The sequence below is a fragment of the Homo sapiens genome, chromosome 13, assembly GCF_000001405.40.
Source record: "Homo sapiens chromosome 13, GRCh38.p14 Primary Assembly".
Taxonomy (NCBI): Eukaryota; Metazoa; Chordata; class Mammalia; order Primates; family Hominidae; genus Homo; species Homo sapiens.
In genome coordinates, this window is record NC_000013.11 from 89,476,952 (window position 1) to 89,502,199 (window position 25,248).

The window sequence follows — 25,248 nt, forward strand, 5'->3', positions numbered from 1 at the left end:
TGAAGAGCTGTTATAAGCACGCCAGTCATTTCAGTGGGAGCTGTTCCACCTGGCTGCATTAGCTGGCTATCTTCTATTTACTGATGACTTTATTTTTAAAGCATATTTATTGTAACATACACAAGTAATTAATGTACTTATTTAATTTTTGCTGGAACTAGTATAGTGTATTCTTACTTTTCCTGAGTGTCATTGAACTCCAGGCCAATTAAAACACACCTTTGAATTTTGATGAGTATTTTGCTTTGCTGAAGTTTAGTTTTTCATTTGTGAAGACAGCTCATTCATTGGGTCACTGAATTCCAGAAACATGTTGTGAACATTTATATCAATCATAATTCATAAGATGCTGTAGAAAGTGAAAGTCATTGCAGAGAAACTTAGTTCTCAAGGGATATAGCATCTAATCACCTGCTAACAAGCAACAAATAGTATAATAATTTATTATTCACAAAATTATACTTGATCTTTAAAAACAAAATATGTAAATGAATAGCAAAGAAATGTTAAAATGATTGAAGTCTGTTCATGAAATCAGTCCCAATTGAAGTTAGTTGAGAATGATTCATGGAAAAGATAAGTTAGTTGAAATTAGGATAAATAGGTGACAGATAAAGAATAAGAATATATCTGGTTATTAGACAATACAGGAAAATACAATTTTTCCATCATTTATTCACTTAATGATATTCATTTAGGACACATTTACACCTGTTGTGGGACTACAATAAGGAAAAAAACAGATGTTTCTGTCTTCATAGTTTAGACGAGGGGTCAGCTAACTTTTTCTATAAAGGGTCAGATGGTAAATATGGTACCTTATCCACCTGTGTGGACCAAGTAGCAATATCAAAGATAACATGGATATGCTTGTATAATAAGAAATAAAATAAATATCCATATTTTGTATTTTCTATATTTAAACTGTAATAAGAATAACTGAGTGAAATAAATTAAAAACTAATACAGTTTGGCTGGAATAGGAAGTAGTAAGAGGGTGGTAGCAAGGATGTGGCTGGCAGTGGAATTGAAGCAGAGATGGTCCTTTGGGAGGGAAGATAAGGCATCATGTCTCCAGAAGAAAGGGATTCTCCTGTATTCTGCTGTGCTCAGAGACCCAGGGCAGGATCCAAAAGCTTGTGGTCAGTAGAAGTGGGCTGAAGGTGGTCTGGATGAAAATTAAGACCTGTGGATGAGAAAACTTGGGGTGAAAGCTTTAAAGACATGTCCTGATTACTGTTTAAATTACTCAGCTGTTGTAGCTTGAGAACAGTCACAAATAATACCTAGTGGAATAGGATAAGCTTGTTTCTAGAAAATTCTATTTATGGGTAGTGAAACTTGAATTGTGCATAAGTTTAAAACATGACAAAATATTATTCTTAAAATTTTGTTTAGCCATTTAAAAATGTAAGAAACATTCATAGCTCATACACGAATTGGTAGTGGGATCACAGGGCTCACATTTGACTCACAAGCAATAGTTTACTGACTCGTGGTCTATGAAGAAATAAAGGATATGTAGTTTTTCAAACTATCTATATGCACTAGTCAAACTATAGTTTATTCATATGCTTATCACCAAATTTTAAAGTAAGATTTTATAAAAATCCATACATCTATAAAAATAATTTCATAATAAAACAAAGCTTAAATCTTTACAGTTTAATAAATACTAATAACTTATAAAATAGAGAAGAAACATATTAATTAGAATCAGTCACCAAAGGGTCTATACCTAACTCAATGAAATAAGGCTATGTTTCACATTAATTTCTTTTTACTTATTCATGGTTAATACTAAGTTAATAATCCAAATTCATTACTAATGTTCTGACTATTTGGTAAGCCAATGTCCACATGATTCTAAAAAAACTTCAAGATTGAATATATCAGTCTGGGAAATATTAATGGACAGATTTCAACTCCACTCCCTTAAGTTCAAAGTTTAAAAGAGTTCTCAGCAAAATAAGCAGTGTACAGATATCAGAGTGAAGTTCTTGAAAACTTGAGATAAAGAGGTGGGAAGCATTTAATTTACTGTAACAAGTAGTAGTCTGTCTCTCATGCCATTACCTAGAGAGGGAAATAGAGTCCATGCTAAGAGGGAATCTGCTTAAGGCATCAGGGGAGGGTACTGTTCCACAATAAATTAAATTGGCTTTGAGGACCACCCACACATTGCTGTATTCACAGAGAATTCTTGCAGTCAGTAATATACCTCTGATTTTTGATTGAAAGCATGAAAACTAATATATACTATGTTTTGGTTCACATAACCCAGCATTAAACTTCAACACTCTGGCACTGCTGATTATGGGCTCAGATTTTTCTGAATTATTTTTAAAAACTAATCTTCATCTCTGCTATGACACCCTCAGGGCACAAAGACTTAAGGTTCTTATTACATTAATGTTTTTATTCCTATACTTAAAGACATATAACGTTCTAAAGCAGAAATGTGAAATTAATCAGATGCAATACAGCATCTTTCAAAAGATGGCACATATCTAACACCTGTCAGCTCATCAAAGTTTGGTCTACTACTCTACAAATTACTACATATATCATTCCTGACACCTAAACTGAGGTAGAGAATAAAACAAAACTTGTAAATTTTGTAAGACTCACTAGCAACACATATGCAGTGAAGGATCTGTTCTCAATCTTTTTATCTTTAACCCCATTAGATACATAAATGCAGTGATAGACCCAATAACTTTTGTTAGAGATATATCATGCATATATATATATATATACACACTCATATATATTTCATATTAAATTAAAAATAGAAAATTTAAAAACACGAATGCACAAGTCCACATTTTGTTAAACTATTAGAATGATATCATCACATCATTAGCATCTAGAAAACTTAACTCTGCATTCATAAATGAATGACAGTTGAAAAGATAATAACTTCTTAGCAATAGTTTTAAAATGGTTTTTACTTTATGGACCCCCTGAAAGATATCTGGTGACCTTCATAGCTTCTTGGACTATAGCTTGACAAATATTTCAGTGAAGACAAAAACAGCAATAATTATTTGTGTGTGTGTGCTTAAAAAATTAAGCATTTATACTTTGAGAAATGGAATAAGGAATAGAATATGGAGACTCCTTTGCTGTCTGGAATTATATGAAGAAATACTTTTTTTTTTTTTTTTTTTTTTTTTGAGATGGAGTCTCTCTCTGTTGCCCAGGCTGGAGCGCAGTGGCACAATCTCAGCTCACTGCAAGCTCCGCCTCCCGGGTTCACGCCATTCTCCTGCCTCAGCCTCCAGAGTAGCTGGGACTACAGGCACCCGCCACCACGCCCGGCTAATTTTTTTTGTATTTTTAGTAGAGATGGGATTTCACCGTGTTAGCCAGGATGGTCTCGATCTCCTGACCTCGTGACCTGCCCACCTCGGGCTCCCAAAGTGCTGGGATTACAGGCGTGAGCCACAGCGCCCGGCCAACAAATAAATTTTTTATCTTTTGTTGATGAGAAGAGTCTACAAGTTTCCCTCTATCAATGGGAAATAGAAAAGATAGGAAGGTTGGAAGAGGGATTCTGTGGAGATGAGACAGTGTGAGGCAGGGTTTCTTCTTTGATCTGTGTGATCCAAGGACATGACAACAGGGAAGCTGATTGTGTTGCTAGGAGACCAACTGAAAAAGAGGATTCAGAATGAGTAAATAAAGCTAATGAAACAATAATATAATAGAAGTTAGAATGCAGTGGCAGAGTGTGAAAGACAGTAATATAAGCAGGTCACACTGGATCAGTCAACTAAACAAGACAGCTGTCTAAGGAAAATGCATTGAGAAAACTGTGGCCAGGAGCTTTTGTATTTACCAGTGCACAGTTCCAAAGTACAGAGGCAAAACTGAACTCCTTCACTATCAAAAATGGTGTGTGATGGTGGTAGTGATTTAGTTGTGGCGATATTTTAAGATACAGAATTATGTCCATTGAGAATTTTCTGGAAGTTCAGTGACTATATATTGAAATTTTGACTATAAGCTCTTTTAAATGCAATATTTCAGCTCTATAAACTCTAGGTGAGAACATCTAATAGATAGATGAGAATATTTTTGGCAGTCTGTTGTCAGAAGCTATCTGATCCACATATTTGTCCTTTTTATTCTTCAGTATTTGTGAATGTACTTGATTCTATTTTTAGATGAATCTCTAGCATTTAAATACTAAAAATTTTTTGTTAAAATGTTATTTTAAAGTGACATTTTATTGAAATTTCAATATTAAAAATAGATTTCCAATATTTTTCATATCATCAATTAAAATTAAATATAAAATCCTAAGATTATACATATTAGAATGAAATAAAGTAAAATGAATTATGATTTAATTTGATTTAACCAAAATATTAAAAATGGCCAACTCCTTTGGTAATTAAATATGAACTGGTAATTAAGTATTGGTAATTAAGAATAAATTTAAACAATGACATTAGAGCATTATTTTTTCTAAATGTAGACTGTGGTAAATAATGGTTAATAATATTAAACTAGTAAATTCATATTCTGTTTCATAAAGGTTAATAGTTGCAGCTTGATTCATTTAAAATATTCATTAAACATTCAAAATCATTTAATGAAGATTTGAATTAAAATTTAAATGATAAGGTAACATTATTCTTAATGTCAAAAATAAAAATATTAAACATTTTAGTTTTTGATTTTAAATGAAAGGACACTGACTTGGAAAAATGCATTTTATGAATGTTTAGTAAATAACATTTACTATATTTTCTAGATTATTTATAACTCTATCAATTAATACAATTTGTAATATTTTATTTGGGTAGTACTTTTAGTGGAAGTACATATTTCCTAGTATCTATGCATAAAAGAAGACTCAGTGTTTTTTTTTGTTTTTTTTTTTTTGAGACAGGGTTTCACTCTGTTACCCAGGCTGGAGTGCAGTGGCATGATCTTGGGTCATTGCAGACTGACTCCACCTTCAGGACTCAAGCAATCCTCCTGCCTCAGCCTCCCTAATAGCTGAGGCTACATACAGGCATGCACTACAAAGCCTGGCTAATTTTTTTTATTTTTTGCAAAGATGGGGTTTTACCATGTGGCCAAGGCTGGTCTTGAACTCCTAGGCTCAAGTTATCCACCCACCTCAGCCTCCCAAACTGCTGGATCACAGGTGTGAGCCACCACACTGAGCTTTTAGCGATGATTTTAACATAAATTGTTCAGTGCTTAATATGACTTACTGTAAGAAGCAATTAACTTCTAAGAGCCAAAGATGCAAGAAATGTTTACCACTAGCCACAGGAAAATAGAACATTTTACTCCCAATACACCTGCCCCTTTTGCAGGTAAGAGGCAAATTTGAAAGCAATTTTTTTTTAGTTAGTAATAATAATCTATAAACTTAGAATTTTATATGTCTAATTCATTTATTTAAAATAATAATATCAAGCCATTGATAATAAAAAGGAGCTTCAATGGGAAGTTCCTACATATATGATAATATATGTAGAATATATAGACCTACTATTTGAACTATATCTTTAAAAACAGACTTCTAGTTAGTTACCTGTCTCTTCTAATATAACTCCATTTAGATTGCTATTTTATTAAGCTTTTATTACAATACATTGCCACTATAACACATTTTATATTGGATTTTGTTTTCTTACACAGATTGATTTTTCCATGAAACTCTATTCTATTCTAATCTCCTGTAAGAATACCAAGTAGCCTTTTGTTTTTCCAATTCAAGTAAGAATTGTATAAAGTGTAGTTATTGTTTATTTTCTGTAAACATGTTATTTTCTAGATTAACTTTCATTTTACCAGATAATTTTAGACAGTAATAAGTGTTATGAAGACAATAAATTGGGGGTAATCTGATAAATAGTAAGTGCGACCAGTGGTTAATTTACATATGAATAGGAAATCCTTTTTACATTAAGACCTGCACCATACAGAGATGGGGACATTATTTGAGCAAACATGGAAACACTTTTGAGGTAGAGGAAAGAGCAAGTGTAAAGCCGCTGAGGTCGTAACACTTTGAAGGCCATGGTAAATGTTCTTGTAGGATCTCTCTATTGTGTTAACACTATGGAATGAATTCTCAAAGCAGACTTCAACTGATTATAGACTGTGATAGGCAGAAGAGCATCCCCTATGGATGTCCATGGCCTAATCCGTGGCCTTTGTAAATAAATTATGTTACATGAATAAATAATTTTTCCCAATGGAATTAGATTATGGACTTTAAAGTAGGAAGACTATTGAGATTAACTGGATTGGACCAAGAAAATCACACGGGCTCCTAGAAATGAAAGAGGAAGGCAGAAGAACCGGTTAGAGAGATGTGATGACAGAAGAAAAGGAGAGATTTCTAAGTGTGAGAGAGACTCCTGAATTCCATTCATTGTTGCTGGTTTTGACAATGTAGGCAGGGACCACGAATCAGGGCATATGGGTGGTTTCTAAAAGCTCGAAACAGCCCTCAGCAAACAGACAGAAAGAAATTGGGGGACTCAATTCTACAACTGCCAAGAACCAAATTCTAGCAACAGCTTCAATGTGCGGAAAAATGGATTCTCCCCTAAAGCCCTCAGAAAGTCAGAAATGAACACAGCCTGACAACAGCTTGGTCTTAGCCCAGGGAAAGCCATGTCAGAGTTCTCACATACAGAAATGTAAAGTAATAAAATTTGTGTTTTTAATCTTCCAAATTTGTGGAAATTTCTTATGGAAGAAATAGAAAACTAAAATGTAGATCTTATCACTACTAAATTTAATACTGATTTGAAGGATACAGGCAAGAACTAAGCAGAGATAAAATAGTCCTCTATGGAGGACACTGCATCTGTAAATTTTCGTTTCCAAAAAGAATGTTCTTTTTTTTTTCAGTGTTTGAAAGCACTTGGATATCAAATTAACAGGAGATTTTTGAACAATGTACAGTATATGTAAATAGTATACTCAGAGAAATTTTGGTTTTGGGGCTCCCCAATACTATAACTCATTTGTTACACAGTAGAAATGTATATATTTCTAAAATTTGATTTAACTTATATTTAAAATTTGGATATGTAGACCTATATATAATAATTTATCATTTTCATAAAGTTCTCAATCTTTTAGAATGCCATGGATAGAATTTGCTTCACAAATAGGTTAGAATATTTTTTCTTTAGCTTTTTAGAACTTCATGTATAAAATAGGGTTCTAATTCAAGCTGAGGCAGGCAGATCCCTTGAGGTCAGGAGTTTGAGACCAGCCTGGCCAACATGGTGAAACCCAGTCTCTACTAAAAATACAAAAATTAGCCAGGCGTGGTGGTGTGTGCCTGTAATCTCAGCTACTCGGGAGGCTGAGGCAGGAGAATTGCTTGAACCAGGGAGGCGGAGGTTGCAGTGAGCCAGAATTGCACCATTGCACTCCAGCTCTGGGCAACCAAGCAAGACTCCATTTCAAAAAAGAGACTTCAAATAGAAAACGTACTATGTGTACAGACCTACAAAATGCCAAATATGTGCATTTATGTATATATATTACAGATAAATATGTAAAGCATACATTTTATCCTCAAATTTGGATTTATTTGTTTTAAACAAGTTTTATGGGCTAATAATCCCATTTCTTTGTGATGAATAATTTTTTATTTTGAAGTATTTGCAACAGAAGCTCTCCTGACTCCCAGTGATCCTATAAAATGGCCATAATTTAGTGGATTTTAATTAGCTGGCACTTGGGTTCAGGAAATTTTAGATACTTGTCAAACAAAACTTTAAAAATGTTTCATAATCTGTAAAAATTAACTTATCATTTTTGTTATTAAATTTAACTTAAAAATTGACTTTCATTTATATTATTTAATTTATATTGAGTTATCTAAATACACAGCACATTATTGCAATTAATATTTCCATATAATTCCATATAATAAGTTTTTAAAAATATATATGCATTTCCAGGCCAGGCATGGAATCCCAGCACTTTGGGAGGCCCAGACGGGCAGATCACCTGAGGTCAGGAGTTTGAGACCAGCCTGGCCAATGTGGCGAAATCCCATCTCTACAAAAAAAATGCAAAAGTTAGCCAGCCATTGTGGCGTGTGCCTGTAGTTCCAGCTACTTGGGAGGCTGAGGCATAAGAATCGTTTGAACCCGGGAGGCAGAGATTGCAGTGAGCCAGGACTGCACCACTGCACTCCAGCCTGGGTGACAGAGAGCGTGTATCTCTCTCTCTCTCTCTCTCTCTCTCTCTCTCTCTCTCTCTCTCTCTCTATATATATATATATATATATATATATATATATATATGCATTATGCATTTCCTTTAATCTATTATCTTTTTGAGTATTTTTGTTCACTGCGCATCACATTTGTCCTCGCTAAAAATTTATTTGTTATGCAATTAGAAACATTTATCTATTCAGTCAGTAAAAAGAATTTATGAGTGTCTGGGTTAAATAAATATTTAAAAATTAATTAAAGAGGGTGTGTTTAGCTATGCTATATTTAAAATAGTCAAATCAGGCATGCCAAATATTTGGGTAAAATAATATTTTTGAATGTCCATGTCTTTAACTACCTTAAAATCCACTAAAATAAGTGTTATTTTCCATTATTGCTCTTGTTTATATTATGAAGATTTGGGATTTTTATATACTCTTTTATTTTAAAAATTTATTGATGTATTTATTTTGAGACAGAGTCTTACTCTGTTGGCCAGGCTGGAGTGCAAAGTTGTGATCATGGCTCACTGCAGCCTCGAACTCTCATGCTCAAGCGATTCTCTCACTTCAGCCTCTGTAGTAGCTAGGACTACAGGCATGAGCCACAACACTTAACTAAATTTTAATTGAATTTTAAAAAACTAAAGGCCTCTCTATATTGCCCAGGCTGGTCTTGAACTCCTGAGCTCACCCAATCCTCCCACCTCAGCCGTCCAAAGTGCTGAGATTACAGGTGTGAGCCACTGCATTCAGCTTTACTCTTTTTTTAAATTATCATTACAGATTTCACTTTAAATTTCAAGTACTAATGGAACAAGCATATTACATGTCCAACTTATTGACTGATACTGGAGGATCTCCTATCTTAATTTGTTACAGAAAAATGATTTGCAATATAAAAATTATTCTCAGATTTTAAAACTGAAACATTATTTCAAAACAGACACAAAAAGGAAATATGTCTAAAGAATTAATTCACCAAAAAAACCTGCTAAAATGACTAAACTGATTAAGGATCACTAACCAGCTAGATTACAGAATGATCACAAATCATCATTAGAGCATGACATAAGACTTCTGTGAAGCAGCCTGGTAGTCCTGTTCTTTCTGGAATTCTCATACTCTCCATGATAAGGTTCTGCCAAGAGATAATAATATCACATAGTCCCTCCTAAGGCTAATACTCCAGTATCATAACATTTCCCATAAAAAGTACAGTGATGTTATAAGTGCTTCAAATGCGAAGAAACTATCCTGTGTCAAATGACAATAAAATAGTTACTTTTCAGTGAATCTGCTGGAGAAAATAACAATCATCTTTATCTATGTTGTTAGCATGCTCTAAAAATCATATTTATTTATTTTTCTAAACATGAAATTGTGATGTGTAGTAAATATTATAAATTCTTATTTTAAAATGTAAACAATAGATAATATTTATGTCCAGTAGGCCAAATATATTTGAAAGCACATTTTTCAGCCCACTTCACAAGAAGAGGTAACACTACTCAGAATCAGGTATTGTAATAAGAATCATTCTAATTTTTAATGGCTAAGTTTATGGGTAGTATTATCATTATTTATTTTTCCATGACTAATTTAAATTTCTTCAGTGGTTTGTGAAAAAAAAATGGGGGTTTCAAATAGGCATTCATATCAGTCCTTGGACAGATATGTAGCTCAGCTCCTTTTATAACTTTTAGAATGTATGTGGTTTATTTCCCAGAAATGGTAGGCTGACCTAGCTGGAAAACAAAGATATGTCAACATTTTTAGCTTTCAGGTCTGTAAACTTGATCTTTGATATTTATTTCTTAAGCTTATACAACTGTGCCAGTTTGCAATGAAGGACATCTATACCTCAGATATTTCTTTAAAATATCCTGTTAAATAGTATCTATTGCAGAAAAGTCTCGCCCATATTACTTGCAGTAGGTAGGTCAAATTATATATTTTAAGAGAACTATAATTGCCTTTTCTTTGAGAACCTGTAAGTAAATAAAATGAAAAAGACCTTCTCTCAACACACACACACACACACACACACACACACACGCACACGTCTACACTGGTGAGGTTTAGATGGTGATAAGATCAAATCTATTCTGTAAAACAAGACGATGGGAAATGGATAAGATCACTGTATAATATATGGTGTTATCATGAAATGGCACGTTATTCCAGATTTGCTGAAGATCAAACTGAATCCATTTTTATTTCCTGGAAAGCCACTGTAAAAAAGATTCAAGAGTCCACTGATGATTTAATAATAGTAGCATACTATGCACATATTGATAACCACTTTCTTTTCAAAAGTGACATGTCTGGAACCCAAAAATATGAGAATTTATTGCTTGGGTTGGGAGAATAAGGAGCCAGAACTATAAAAATTAACATATTTTTTATTGTAACGTTCCCCATACTGCTGTTGGTGTGGCATGCTAAACATAATTAGCTTATGCAAATACATGAGGTAAGAGTAAGATTGCATTCTTAAAATCTTGGAATCCACTTAAAAGCTGTCTATATGACCTAAGAGATGATATAAGGGACATTTTTAGATTTTCTTTATGTTTTTAACATTTCTGTTTCTATCAACTTAAACCTCCCAAAACTCTGTATTTGGTTTAGTGTGCTCTAGCTCTCTATAGCAATCTGTTGGCATGGCTATGATTCCACAAAATATGCATTGGAATCGATGAAATTCATTAGAAAGCATGTCTACCTTATGCATGCTCTGCAAAAATGAAATTGAGTATAATGTTTATTATGTTACTTTATAAAATGACCCATGTGCTACTTTTATTTTTAATGAGATTTAATGCCAGGGAAAATTTTGTCTCTACAGAAAAACAAAACAAATTCTACAAAACTAAAAGCATGTGACACATTAAACCAATTTTATTTGTAATAAATTTATAATAATTAAATATTAACTAAAATATTAAATATTATTTACAATAATAATAATGAAACATTTCTTCTCTTTATGGCTTGGGTTGCAGAAAGCTAAAAACAAAATTAATCTTCTAATTTGATTAGTTTGCCAAACATTTACCTGTTAAATTAGTTATTTATTGATATGATTTGGCTGTGTCCCCACCCAAATCTCAACTTGAATTGTATCTCCCAGAATTCCCATGTGTTGTGGGAGTGACCCAGATGGAGGTAACTTCCCGTGCTATTCTTCTGATAGTGAATAAGTCTCATGAGATCTGATGGGTTATCAGTAGTTTCCCCATTTGCTTCTTCCTCATTTTTTCTCCTGTTGCTGCCATGTAAGAAGTACCTTTCACCTCCCACCATGATTCTGAGGCCTCTCCAGCCATGTGGAACTGTTAAGTCCCATTAAACTTCTTTTTTTCCCCAGACTTGAGTATGTCTTTATCAGCAGCATGAAAATGGACTAATACAACTATATAGTCATGGCATTGTGTTTTATATTTATTTAATATAAGTATATATTTTATGTTTTATATTATTTCATCTAATGTGCCATATGCCTCAGAAACTTGATTCGTAAAGGTATAGTGTCTATTTCAATAAAAATATGTGTCTCTTCGCCAAATCAGCAAAACACTTTTTAGCTATTAAGCTCATATTTTATATTATTGGATCTTACATTGCATTGATAGCTTATGCAATGATACCTAATGTAAATGACGAGTTAATGGGTGCAGCACACCAACATGGCACATGTATACATATGTAACAAACCTGCATTTTGTGCACATGTACCCTAGAACTTAAAGTATAATAATAAAAAATAATAATAAAATAAAGTCATTACATAGGTTAAAAAAAAAAGATACACTAATATTCTGTAACATGCATTTTTTATGACCAATTCATTAATCTTTTAATATTTATTTATTTAGAAATATAATTGGGAGACATCTGCTGCATATAAAACTATTTCACACTAAGTTTTTAAGAATGCATTCAACATATTTAAGAAATATTTTACTAATATTTAAGAATGTATTGATTTTTCTAAATATTATAATTTGTTCTATATCTCATATAACACTTCAATATGTATTTATTAACCATGTAATTACTTTGTGTTTATTTACATACATACATAGTGGAAAATTTATTTTTTACTATAGGTGTAAGAGAGAGCCAGCCAAGTATGTGTACACACACAGAAAGAGTTTAATTTTTACAAAGATAGTGCAAGTGTTTACATCTTAAATGAAAAACCTCATCTTCCTTAAACAAACATATTTTAGGGTAAAATGAACAAAATCCTTTTATTGAAACATATAAAGTTATCAATATGGTAAAAAAACAAATAGGATACTAGAAATTTCATTTGGCTCAATCTAATATAACATTCTCAAACAAATATATTCTGTCAATTCCGTGGTTGCCATTCTTGCTGCTAAAGGTTAATAAATGATTAAACAATAGTTTACAGTTAATTTGAAAAAATTAAAGAGCTCAACTGTAATTAAGAATGAGAATATTTTAGTAGTTAATCATAAATAATACCTTTATTCTACCTGGGTGGTCTCTTGATTCATACACTTCCTGTGGTCACTGGTATGTAAATAGTTCCTTTTTGTGCTTTATGTAATTGAGGGTATTTTCAATAAAGTACTTGATTATTTTAGCAAAAAAAATGTATTGTCATTTTATGTTTTTATAAAATATAGTTGTAATAAATTTTAAACAAAGATCAAATAAATTAAAATCTATTATATATATAAACATTTATAAATAAATGTTTTTATATAAATATATATAAAAAATAGGCCAGGCGCTGTGGCTCACGCCTGTAATCTCAGCCCTTTGGGAGGCCAATGTGGGCGGATCATGAGGTCAGGAGTTCGAGACCAGCCTGGCCAACATGGTGAAGCCCCATCTCTACTAAAAATACAAAAAATTAGCTGGGCCTGGTGGCACATGCCTGTAACCCCAGCTATTCAGGAGGCTGAGGCAGGAGAATCGCTTGAACCCAGGAGGTGGCGGTTGCAGTAAGTGAAGACCCACGCCATTGCACTCCAGCCTGGGCAACAGAGCAAGACTCTGTCTCAAAAAATAAAACAAAATGAAGTAAAATAAAATAAACATTTCCATACTTACCAGGCAATTTATGTATGTCATGGAGTACAGTTTCCAAAATTGCATTGCTTTTTATCAACATATTCACTGTGTATGTTGATGGTAACAATAAAGAAAAAGAAACAGGGCCAGGCGTTGCAGCTCACGCCTGTAATCCCAGCACTTTGGGAGGCCAAGGCAGGCGAATCATTTGAGGTCAGGAGTTTGAGACCAGCCTGGCCAACATGGTGAGACCTCATCTCTACTAAAAATACCAAAATTAGCCAGGCGTACTGGTGTGCACCTGTAATCCCAGCTACTCAGGAGGCTGAGGCTGGAGAATCACTTGAACCCGGGAGACGATGGCTGCAGTGAGCCAAGACTGTGCCACTGTACTCCATCCTGGGTGACAGAGTGAGACTGTCTCAAAAAGAAGAAAAAGAAACAAACCTAGAATTTGTTGATTCACAAATATGTCATCAACACAATAATTATTAATCTTTCTATTGTAAGCAAGTAGGTAATTGGATACTGTCTTAATTTGTTCCGGGTGATATAACAAAATACCATAAACCAAATATCTTATAAACAACAGAAATGTGTTACTCAGAGTTCTGGTTTCTGGGAATTCCAAGACCAAGACACAGGCATATTTGGTGTCTGATGAGAGCCTGCTTTCTGGTTCATGTAAACACCACCTTCTCCTGAGGAAACAACTGTGTTTTCATGTGCTAGAATGTATTTTCATGTTCAGAGACAGCTCTCTGAAGCCTAGTTTTTAGGAGCACTAATCCCATTCATGAAGGCCTCATGACCTAATTACCTCCCACAGCACCCACCTCCTAATGACTTTACATTGGTGATTAGGTTTTTGACATATGAATTTTAGGAAACATGACACAGTTTGGATGTTTGTTCCCTCCAAATCACATGTTAAAATGTGATCTCCAATGTTAAAGACAGGGCCTAAGAGGAGGTATTTGGGTCATAGGGGCAGATCCCTTATGAATGGCTTGGTGATCCCTCAATAGTAATGAGTTCTCTGAGATGTGGTTATTAAAAGGAGTCTAGTATTGCCCCTCTCTCTCTTGCTCCCTCTCTTGCCATGTGACACATGTACCCCTACTCCTGCTATGCCTTCTACCATGAGTAAAAGCTTCCTGAAGCCCTCACCAGAAGCAAATGCTGACATCATGTGTATTAGTCCACTTTCATGCTGCTGATAAAGACATACCAAAGTCTGGGAAGAAAAAGAGGTTTAATGGACTTACAGTTCCACATGGCTGGAGAGGCCTCACAATCATGGTGGAAGGCAAGGAGAGGAGCAAGTCAAAACTTAAATGGATGACGGCAGGCAAGAGCGAGAGCTAGTGCAAAGAGACTCCCATTTTCAAAACCATCAGATCTCATGAGACTCATTCACTATCATGGGAACAGCACAGGAAAGACCTACCCCTACAATTCAATCACCTTTCACTGGGTCCCTCCCATGACACATGGGAATTGAGGGAGTTACAGTTCAAGATGAGATTTGGGTGGGTACACAGCCAAACCATATCGTTCTGTTCCTGGCCCCTCCCAAATCTCATGTCTTCACATTTCAAAACCAATCCTGCCTTTCCAACAGTCCCTCAAAGTCTTAATTCATTTTAGCATTAAATCAAAAATTCACAGTCCAAAGTTTCATCTGAGACAAGACACGTCCCTTCCGCCTATGAGCCTGTAAAATCAAAAGCAAGTTAGTTTCTCCATAGATACAATAGGGTACAGGCATTGGGTAAATACAGCCATTCCAAATGGGAGAAATTGGCCAAAACAAAGGGGCTACAGGCCCCATGCAGGTCCCAAATCCAGCAGGGCAGTAAAATCTTAAACCTTCAAAATGATCACCTTTGACTCCATGTCTCACATTTGGGTCACACTGATGCACTAGGTAGGTTCCCATAGTCTTGGGCAGCTCTGCCCCTGTGGCTTTGCAGGGTACAGCCTCCCTCCCAGCTGGTGTTGTGTCTACATCTTTCCAGGCACATAGTGCAAGCTGTTGGTGGGTCTACCATTCTGGGGTCTGGAGGACAGATGGTGGCCCTCTTCTCACAGCTCCATTAGGCAGTGCCCCAGTAGGGACTCTGTGTAGGAGCTCCAGCCTGAGATTTCCCTTCCACAGTGCCCTAGCAGAGGTTCTCCGTGAGAACCCCATCCCTGCAGCAAACTTCTGCCTGGACAACCAGGCATTTCCATACATCCAATGAAATCTAGGTGGAGGTTTCCAAACTTCAATTCTTGACTTCTGTGCACCACAGGCTCAACACCACGTGGAAGCTGCCAAGGCTTGAGGCTGGCACCCTCTGAAGCCATGGCCCGAGCTGTACCTTGGCCCCTTTTGGTCATGGCTGGAGTGGCTGGGATGCAGGGCAGCACACAGCAAAGAGACCCTGGGCCTGGCCTATGAAACCATTTTATTCCTCCTAGGCCTCTGGGCCTGTGATGGGAGTGGCTGCCATGAAGACTTCTGACATGCCCTGGAGACATTTTCCCCATTGTCTTGGGGATTAACATTTGACTCCTCGTTACTTATGCAAATTTCTGCAGTTGGCTTGAATTTCTCCTCAGAAAATGAGATTTTCTCCTTTATTGCATTGTCAGGTTGCAAATTTTCTAAACTTTTATGCTCTGCTTCCCTTATAAAACTGAATGCCTATAACAGCACCCAAGTCTCATCTTGAATGCTTTGCTGCTTAGAAATTTCCTCTGCCAGATACCCTAAATCATCTCTCTCAAGTTCAAGGTTCCACAGATCTCCAGGGCAGGGACAAAGTGCCACCAGTCTCTTTGCTAAAACATAACAAGAGTCACCTTTGCTCCAGTTCCCAACAAGTTCCTCATCTCCATCTAAGACTACCTCAACCTGGACCTTACTGTTCATATCACTATCGGCATTTTTGTCAAAGCCATTCAACCAATCTCTAGGAAGTTCCAAATTTTCCCACATTTTCCTGTGTTCTTCTGAGCCCTCCAAACTGTTTCAGCCTCTGCTTGTTACCCAGTTCCAAAGTCACTTCCACATTTTCAGGTATCTTTTCAGCAGCACCCACTCTACTGGTACTTATTTACTGCGTTAGTCTATTTTCATGCTGCTGATAAAGACATATCCAAGACTGGAAAAAAAAGAGGTTTAATGGACTTACAGTTCCACATGGCTGGGGAGACCACACAATCTTGGTGGAAGGTAAGGAGGAGCAAGTCTCCTCCTTGGATTGTGGCAGGCAAGAGAGAGAGCTTGTGCAGGGAGACTCCCGTTTTTAAAACCATCAGACCTCATGAAACTCAATCACTATCAGAGAACAATAATGGGTAGACCTGCCCCCATGATTCAGTCATCTCCCACAAGGTCCCTTCCACAATATGTGGGAATTATGGGAGTTACAAGGCGAGATTTGGGTGGGGACACAGAGAAAACCATATCACACAGTAATAACACATATGAAGCCAACCATTTCACTTTCATAGATATAGAAATTGAGACTGAGCCTATTAAGTGATAGAGCTGTGCTCACATCTATGTTTACATCACTTGGAAGTTTCTGTTTTTTTGCAAACACACTATAGTTGTTTAGTGTGCAAAAAATACAATGGATTTTCTATCAATTATAATATACATTCTGATAGAACAATGGTAGATTTTGCAATATAACCTACCTGGAGAGAATAGTAACGTCTTAACCTTAGTTTTAATACTTCCAATATGTTTTATTTATGAATTATTTTATTACAATAGATTGTTCTTTAAATCATTTTTATGGTTTTTATTTTATTTGAACATTTTTGGAAGTGGTTTATATACATGCCTTCTTGGTGCTTTGCTTTGCTTCTTATTTCCTTTACTTTATTATTTCTTGAAACTTCCCTGCTATCTTATAGCAAAACTCGATGTTCTCACTTAAACATTAGATCTAACCACATTCTAGTTGGCCTTGCAGCTATCTGCAGATGATTCTATATCTGTCTTAGAAACACAGATAGATCAATGCATCTTTTTAAGCATGACCATCATCTTGTTTTCTGTTACAACTTAATATATATTTCTTCTCTATGCTTTAGGATCTTGACTTGTTTTCCTTTTTGCTTCATGCGAGATATTTACCAAGTCCTATGAAAATCATATTTTTCAAGGATTTTTTTCCATGCAGTTTTAAAAAACAAATGAGTAAAATGGAGTGGGGATTCATAGAGACAGGTGCTGCAGAAATCCCTGGCTTGGTTGTTCTGATTGGCATTTATAAATCTTATAAAAGTAATTTGCTTAATTTTAATTTTGCCTTTCCAGGGCATCCATGAAGCTGACAAAATATGATTCAGAGCAAAGATATATTATTTTCTCCCTCTCTCTTTTCAGAGGTAAAGCTGCTTTTAATGCTTCATTTGGGTACAGAACTAAAAAGACTTAAAAGTCACGTTATTATGAAAAAGAGAAGAACACAACTGTCTAATTGTTCACAGGAAATGTGTAGAAAACAGCAACTCTCTGACGTATCTTCTGAGTTTTTGGTAGTTTTATGTTTACGCAAGGCTATAAAGTGATGAAACCAACAAAAGGGATGTACGGTTGACTTCATGTTCCATACTGTGAACAGGAGGGATACTCCTTTCAAAAATGTTTCTCCATCACCAACCTCTGATACTCTTAAGATTAGAAACATGAAAATCACCATACTTTTCCTTTTTCATGTAGGTTAACTGATGCCCAGGTTGTGCCATTCAATGTTTTGCTTTCCTTGAAGGCATTTGGAGGCTTTCAAACAGGTTTCATAATTCAGGCAATGTCAATATAATTTCAAAGCTACAAAAAAATATCTGTCACATATAAATGTCTAAGGTAGAATAGACTGTTTAGGCAGACAGTTGTAGATTTTTATTTCAGGGAAATGTAAAATAGCATCTTCTTAATGTGTGTCTTGGACTATAGTTACATGATTCCCAAGGTGTGGTATAAACCAGGAATAAGTTGAATTTATATATTCTAGTGAATAAAGTGGGTGTGATCTACTATCAGCAAGCAGTCTTTAATTCCAGATAATGTCTTATTTAACATGCATACCTTTTGTTGTACTTATTATGAAATTCAAGCTGTTTACAAATTGCATAGCTTAAATAGCTAAAATTTAGAATAACTCCAGTGCTTTATTTCTAATGTAAGATATTGTTTATGTTGTTTTTTTCTGATTTTTGAAAAATAAAATAATTGTATATGTAACTTCATTATAGATTGTTATAGTATAGAAGTACCTTAGCTGCACTTTTTAAAGTTTTGGAATATAACACATTCTTTCTTTTCAATAAAAGTAACCCACTGATATTGGTTAAACTGGAAGTTATCAGAGTTACATCTTCTTACAAACAGACACTCCAACAGTAAGAACAATTCTAAATACTATATCTTACATATATACAACAAAATATTCTCAAAATAATTATTACTGAGTTTCTCAACATTCACTTTATTTTTCTTCACATACTAGATATACAATATACATACAATTTTAAATGTACAAAATATTAAATAAAAAAGGAAAAGACAAAGACAGGTTCCAAAATCATCTCAAGAAAAGGAGTTTTGAATTATTTGAGCAGTAGCAGATTGAATGGATAAAGCTTATGACACATTATTTCTGCTTGCCAAAATTCCTATTAATTCAAATGAAAAGTATGAGATTCACTATTAGAAGAGCAAAAATATATTTACTCAGATAGTTTACATCTTAATGTTGTGCTTTGTAATTATAGCACTATATTTTCGATACACGAGAAAAATACAAAAATTACTTTCATTGAATGTTTAAAAAATATAAATTATCTGTTTTGTCATCTTAAAATGATTTTTGTGTGTCTAAAGCTATGAGGTTTTTAAAAAATATTACCACTTCAAAAATTATTTGGGAACAAGTTAAGTTATAAATTAAGATAATTAAGATATCAAAAGAACATGTGAACATCTATCCAGTTATATGTACATCAAATAAAATACTTAATTTCATTTTAATACCTTCCTAACAAAAAATGTTTATTTTTAAATTAAGTTAAATAAGGCTTCATATAATTAGTAATATTCAAATATGAACAAGAGAAGTAAAACATTTAGACACCTTAAGTGTTTTAGGAAAGTGTTAAGATTTAGTTATCTGAAATATTAAGCATTTGTAATGTTGGTATTTCTTCTACAAAATAAGTTTTTCTTCAGAATTTGGAAGTTGCGAAAAACAAAACAAAACAAAAAAACAAAGAATACCTTTGCAGTTGCCTTGTCTGATAGTGGTTAGAATAAAATTTCAGTCTTTAGTCAAAGTCAAGAGTATTGCTGCAGCTAGATAAAGAAGCTATTACCCTCTAAAGACAGCTGCTTTGGGTGAATGGTTTTGTGTTTCGTTTATCATAACAATGGGTGATAAGGCTAATAAGAAGTTGTGCAGTGCTAATGGTGGTGATAAGAAACGACAGGACATTACTCTTGAGTAAATCCAGATATGATCAAATGTTGAATTGGCTCAGTGTTGCTGAGTAAGCTGTCCACTTTAATCACAACAACAAAAGAAAATATCTTTAATATAGAATACCTTTAGGAAAAAATAACTTGGGAGTCTGAGTATCTCTAGTTCTTAGTCTACTTTTCTACATTGAAACATTATTTTCATAATTTAGTTTTTGACCATTTAAGTGTGTCTTGTGAATATGACAGCAAGCACTTATCAAGCAGTTTGTGTTTATGTGGTAATGCAAAGAACTCGGCCTAGAAAGGAAGAAATTAGAAGTCACAGAACTAGTTGGGTGTGGTGGCTCATGCCTTAATCCCAGTACTTGGGGAGGCTTAGGTGGGAGGAGTGCTTGAAGCCAGAAGTGTGAGACCAGCTTGGGCAACATAGTGAGACCCTGTCTCTGTGAAGAAAAAAAAAAAAAATTAGCTGGGCATTGTGGTGCGTGCCTGTAGTCCCCACTACTCAGGAGGCTGAGGTAGGAGGATCAGTTGGGTCTAGGAGTTCGAGGCTGCAGAGACCTATGATCACGCCTCTGCTCTCCAGTATGGGCAACAGGGTGAGATCCTTTCTGTCTAAAACAAACAGGAAGGAAGGAAGACAGGAAAGAAGGAAGGAAGGAAGGAGAAAAGGAAAAGGAATGAAGGAAGAAAGGAAAAGGAAGGAAGGAAGAAAGAAAGGAAAAGGAAGGAAGGAAGGAAGAAAGGAAAAGAAAGGAAAGGAAAGGAAAGGATTATAGTACAGGTTGAGCACAAAGAATTACCATTCAGAGGTGACATTTGAGTTGATATTGAAAATGGAGTAGATTCACTAGGTAGGTAAGGAAAGAATATTTCAGTACAGGAAACAAATAGGGCAAAGGGCAGATGTGAGAATGAATGGATGTGAATGAACTGCAAACTACAGGTTACATGGGGAGGGTGCTTCATTGGTGTGTCTTTTGTGCAGGTAGACACGGTACCCTTCATTTGGCCCATATATCACAGTATAGTGTGTAAATTATCCTAAGAGAAGAGGTTTGCCTCCCATATCCATTTGCTTTCATTGTGTTGGGATTTATCACAGATTAGACGTGCTAGATTAATTTGTGTTCTGTCTTGTGTTATCTTGTTTTAACGTAATTTACATTCAAGCTTGTGGTCAAGTTTGCCATTTGGAACCACGTTTTTGTGAGCTGTTTCAACTATGAAAACCATTGAAATGTTGAGCAAATTGACTTTAGCAATCTTTCAAATTGCTGAAAAAATAATTTTCAAAAGGCAAATGTGTTTTTATTGTTAATACAAGTTTATACATTAAAATGATTGAACTAAATTTTACTATTAATCCAGAACATATTTGGGGATGTCAGAGCTCTCTTTCTAAAAACGAAATGTCTATTGGTAGCATAAGAAACAACTCTGAAATAAAAAAATTCTAAAATACAAGTTATCATCTTACTCAAGAATTTTAATAACTTTTATGGCTTATGGCAGTGACCTTCAAACTGTTTTTGTAACAGAATTCATAAGTAATGGTCACAAGCCCAGTGATTGTTTGTTTGCTAATATTCCTATACTGTTTTATCCTATACTGTTGTATTGTAACCATTACAAAAATTTTCAAAATTGTAAATAAAATTAAGAAATACTGATAAAAATTATTATTTAAAAACTTGGTACTGATAGTACCAACTCCTTTAGTTTGCAGTATTAAGTAGACCTTGCATGTGGAAAATCAGGGCAATGAGTGGCATCCAGTAAGCACTTGATAAAGGTTTGTTTGTATTATCATTGCTGCTACTGGTACTGAACTCCTTGCTGGCCAAAATGCCCCTTTTTTGTAGTTGGATAGCCCAGCAAATTCTTTTTTTCACTCTTAGCATTTCCTTAAGTCTGGACTTCTGATTTTGTAAGCAAATAACTGCTATTACAAAATAATTTTATACTTTAAACAGTACTATAATGTGAAGAATAGTTATATTCGAAATTGATTTATTTGATAAAAGTTAAGTCACTGGTAGAAATGAATAGATATAAGATTAATTTAGAAATTTTATGTTGACTTTGTTATCATATACATTGTATCTGAATGTAGTTTTTCATACCTCTCAGCACTTCATTTCAAAGTATAAAAGAAAGTTCTGATTCTGTCAGGTTCAGCATAAATAAATGCAGGGCTTATAGCCACAAGGTAGATTAAGCTGCGTTTGTCATTTTCTTTGCGTTTAATGAAAAGAAACTTATATTATGTTTTGCTTCTTTCTCAGAGGTTAAATTTATTGTCCTTGCTATTCAGAAGTTTTTATTTGAAAAAATGCAGGATAGTTTCTGTTTTCTTGTTCTTTGATAGTATTAAAATATAACTCTGAATAGATACTGAAACATAGTGATGACATGAACATACTTTTTACAATATAAGTGTGCATATATAGTAACACTTGTGTAATATACTGGATAAGATACTTAACATATTTTTGCATGTGATTTATAAATTCATGTGTGTATACTTTGTGGGAACACAATAACATAGTATTATTGTTTATACTTTGTAGTACATATAGATATGCATAAACATACTCAGATATGGAATTTCCATACCTACTGCTTACTTTTAAAAATAGCAATTGATAAATGAAAATAAATAAAACAATTTATTCACAATACTATAGTGATAACTCATGCTAAACATTTAAAATACTTTTAGATTTCATTGTATTACAAAATTACATACATGATGAAGTCCATATTATATTTAAATTATATATCCTATATTTCTTTTTAAATTATATTAAGTTTATGCCACAATGTCATTGAAAATTTCTATTATAAATAATTTCAAAGGATGTAGAATATTCTGTTACATGTGTATTTTGCTTAGGCTAAATATGAGGTCATCCATCATTCCTTTCATTTTGCTACCCCGTAGCCAATCTACCAGCAACTTCTGTTGAGTAAACCTTCAAAATATATTCAGAATCAGAACACTTCAATTCTGTTTTTTGCAAATAAAATAATGTCCTAAATTAGACAAGGTCAATTTCTCATTCAAAAATCTGTGATTTCACATTGCTCAAAGAGGAGTAAACGGTACAAGTACATATAAATCAGTAAAACATTACTCAAAAGTAATGTTGACATATTCATCATCAATTTGGCACATATAAAAATATATAAAAGGCTTGTGACAAAGGACATTAAAAATTTCAAATTAATATTCTAATAGTAAAAGTATAAAAATTATATTCAAGAATTTTATTTATATATATAAAATAGCATGTATTAGTCAGGGTTCTCAAGCATGCTTGATTCTGTCAGGAATCTTCATATTTTAAGACTAGAAGTCAAGCTTTGTGAAGGCCAATCCTTTCTAGTTCACCTTTGATCCAACTGTGTAGTCCCTTTGTATTTTCAACTTAAAGTTTGGAATGGTTTCCTGAAGTCCTCCTCCGTGGTGGATAATGTGTGTGTGCGTGTGTGTGTGTGTGTGTGTGTGTGTGTGTGTGTGTGTGTGTGTGTGTGTGTGGTTCCTGAAAATTTTTAGAAGCTTTTTACCATCTTAGCTGCTACTTTTGGTTTTTTACTCTTCTTGCCAGTTCAGGAATTGACAAAATCCTCAGGGGAAATTGGCACATGAATTTCAGGCTCACCTCTCTGAGGTTTCCTTTTCTCCTGGGTCTTGGTCTCTCAAGTCCTGGATGAGCTGGTAATCTAGAAATGTGACTGCAGATCCTGCCCAGAACCAAGGCTTTTTGCTTGGCCTTCATACCCAGTGCTTAGGATCTGCATATAATCCAAGGGAGAAAAAAAATCAAAAGTAGAACTACTCAACACATTTCTCTTCTTTTTCTCCTCCCTCTGGAAGATTGTCTACACAAAGCCTTAGTTGTCTTAGTTGCCCTCTGATAATGCATGTGGTTTTGTTTAGTTTTTCTGTCGATGTAGTTGCTCTTAGCAGGAGAGTTCTTATTATACAAATTATTCAGACAAATTTCATGTAGAAATTAGAAAATAAATTTTAAGTTATAAAATATTAATATTTAACAACATATAAATTACCTGGTACCTATACGTGAGAAAACAAATTAAAAAAAAATCATCCAAATGATTATTTCAAAAGAAAAAACGTATTACCTAAGTATTCATTCTCCAAAGCAGAATAAGATGTAAATTTTTAAATTCCCACTTACTTATGATTTCTTATAGTACTATTTTATGTATGTGTATGTATTTATATAATGTTTATTGTGATATATTGTAATATTTAATATATTTAATTAAATTATATAGTTAATTGAGTTATGAAATATAAAAAATATATTATCTAATATAACCTAATGATACTTTAAACATTTCACTTGTCTTAACGTTTTGTAAGTATCTAAAACATATAGAATATATGTTTTTTCTAATGCAAAAAAAGCCAATATTTAAGCAAGAAAAAGCTACAGCTTCTCTCTTTCTTTTCTGTTTTCTTTTCTCTTTTTTTTTTTTTTTTTTTTAGAGAAAGGGTCTCACTCTGTTGTCCAAGCTGGAGTGCAGTGGCATAATCATAGCTTACTGCAACCTCAAACATCTGAGCTCAAGGGATCCAGGTACATGTCACCATGTTTGGATAATTTTCAATTTTTTTTTTTTTTGAGACAAACTTTCACTCTTGTTGCCCAGGCTGGAGCGCAATGGCACAATCTAGGCTCACTACAACCTCCGCCTCCCGGGTTCAAGCGATTCTTCTGCCTCAGCCTCCTGAGTAGCTGGGATTACAGGCAACCACCACCATGCCTGGCTAATTTCTGTATATTTAGTAGAGACGGGGTTTCATCATGTTGACCAGGCTGGTCTTGAACTTCTGACCTCAGGCCTTCTAATCCACCCGCCTCGGCCTCCCAAAGTATTTTTTTTTTTTTAATAGAGATGTGGTCTCAATATGTTCCCCAGGCTGGTCTTGAACTTATGTCCTCAAACAATTCTCCCTCCTCAGCTTTCCAAATTTTGGAATTACAGGCATGAGCCACCAAGCCCTGCCTACAGCTTTAAAATCATTTAATAAGCAATTTATTTACCTTTAACATTTCAAATTCCTGCCTAAATCACTATATTAGTTGTTCTCGCATTGCCATAAAGAACTACCTGAGAATGGGCAATTTATAAAGAAAGGAGGTTTAATTGACTCACAGTTTCTCAGATTGTACAGAAAACATGACTGGCAGGAGAGCTCGAGTGAAGGAGGAAGTGCCGCATACTTTCAAACAACCAAATCTCATGAGAACTCCATCACGAGAACAGCAAATCTGCCCCCATGATTCAATCACCTCCCACTAGGCGCCTCTTCCAACACTGGAGATTACAATTCAACATGAGACTTGAGTGGGGACACAGAACCAAGCCATATCAATCACATAAAATACAGTAGCCATTATATATATTTATGTTTTTAAGATTTTTTTCTGTGAAGACTGAATTACTATATTCTATA

The 25,248-nt window shown here is 34.3% G+C and overlaps 1 long non-coding RNA gene across 1 annotated transcript; it reads right to left on the reverse strand.

Annotated features, from left to right (window-relative positions):
• Window positions 1-655: 655 nt before the first annotated feature.
• Window positions 656-23,558, reverse strand: LINC01040 (long intergenic non-protein coding RNA 1040). Its single transcript, NR_131228.1, has 2 exons — window positions 23,423-23,558; window positions 656-1,186 (listed from the first exon to the last, which is right to left on the reverse strand). It is a non-coding gene; the product is annotated as a long intergenic non-protein coding RNA 1040 (long non-coding RNA).
• Window positions 23,559-25,248: the final 1,690 nt, after the last annotated feature.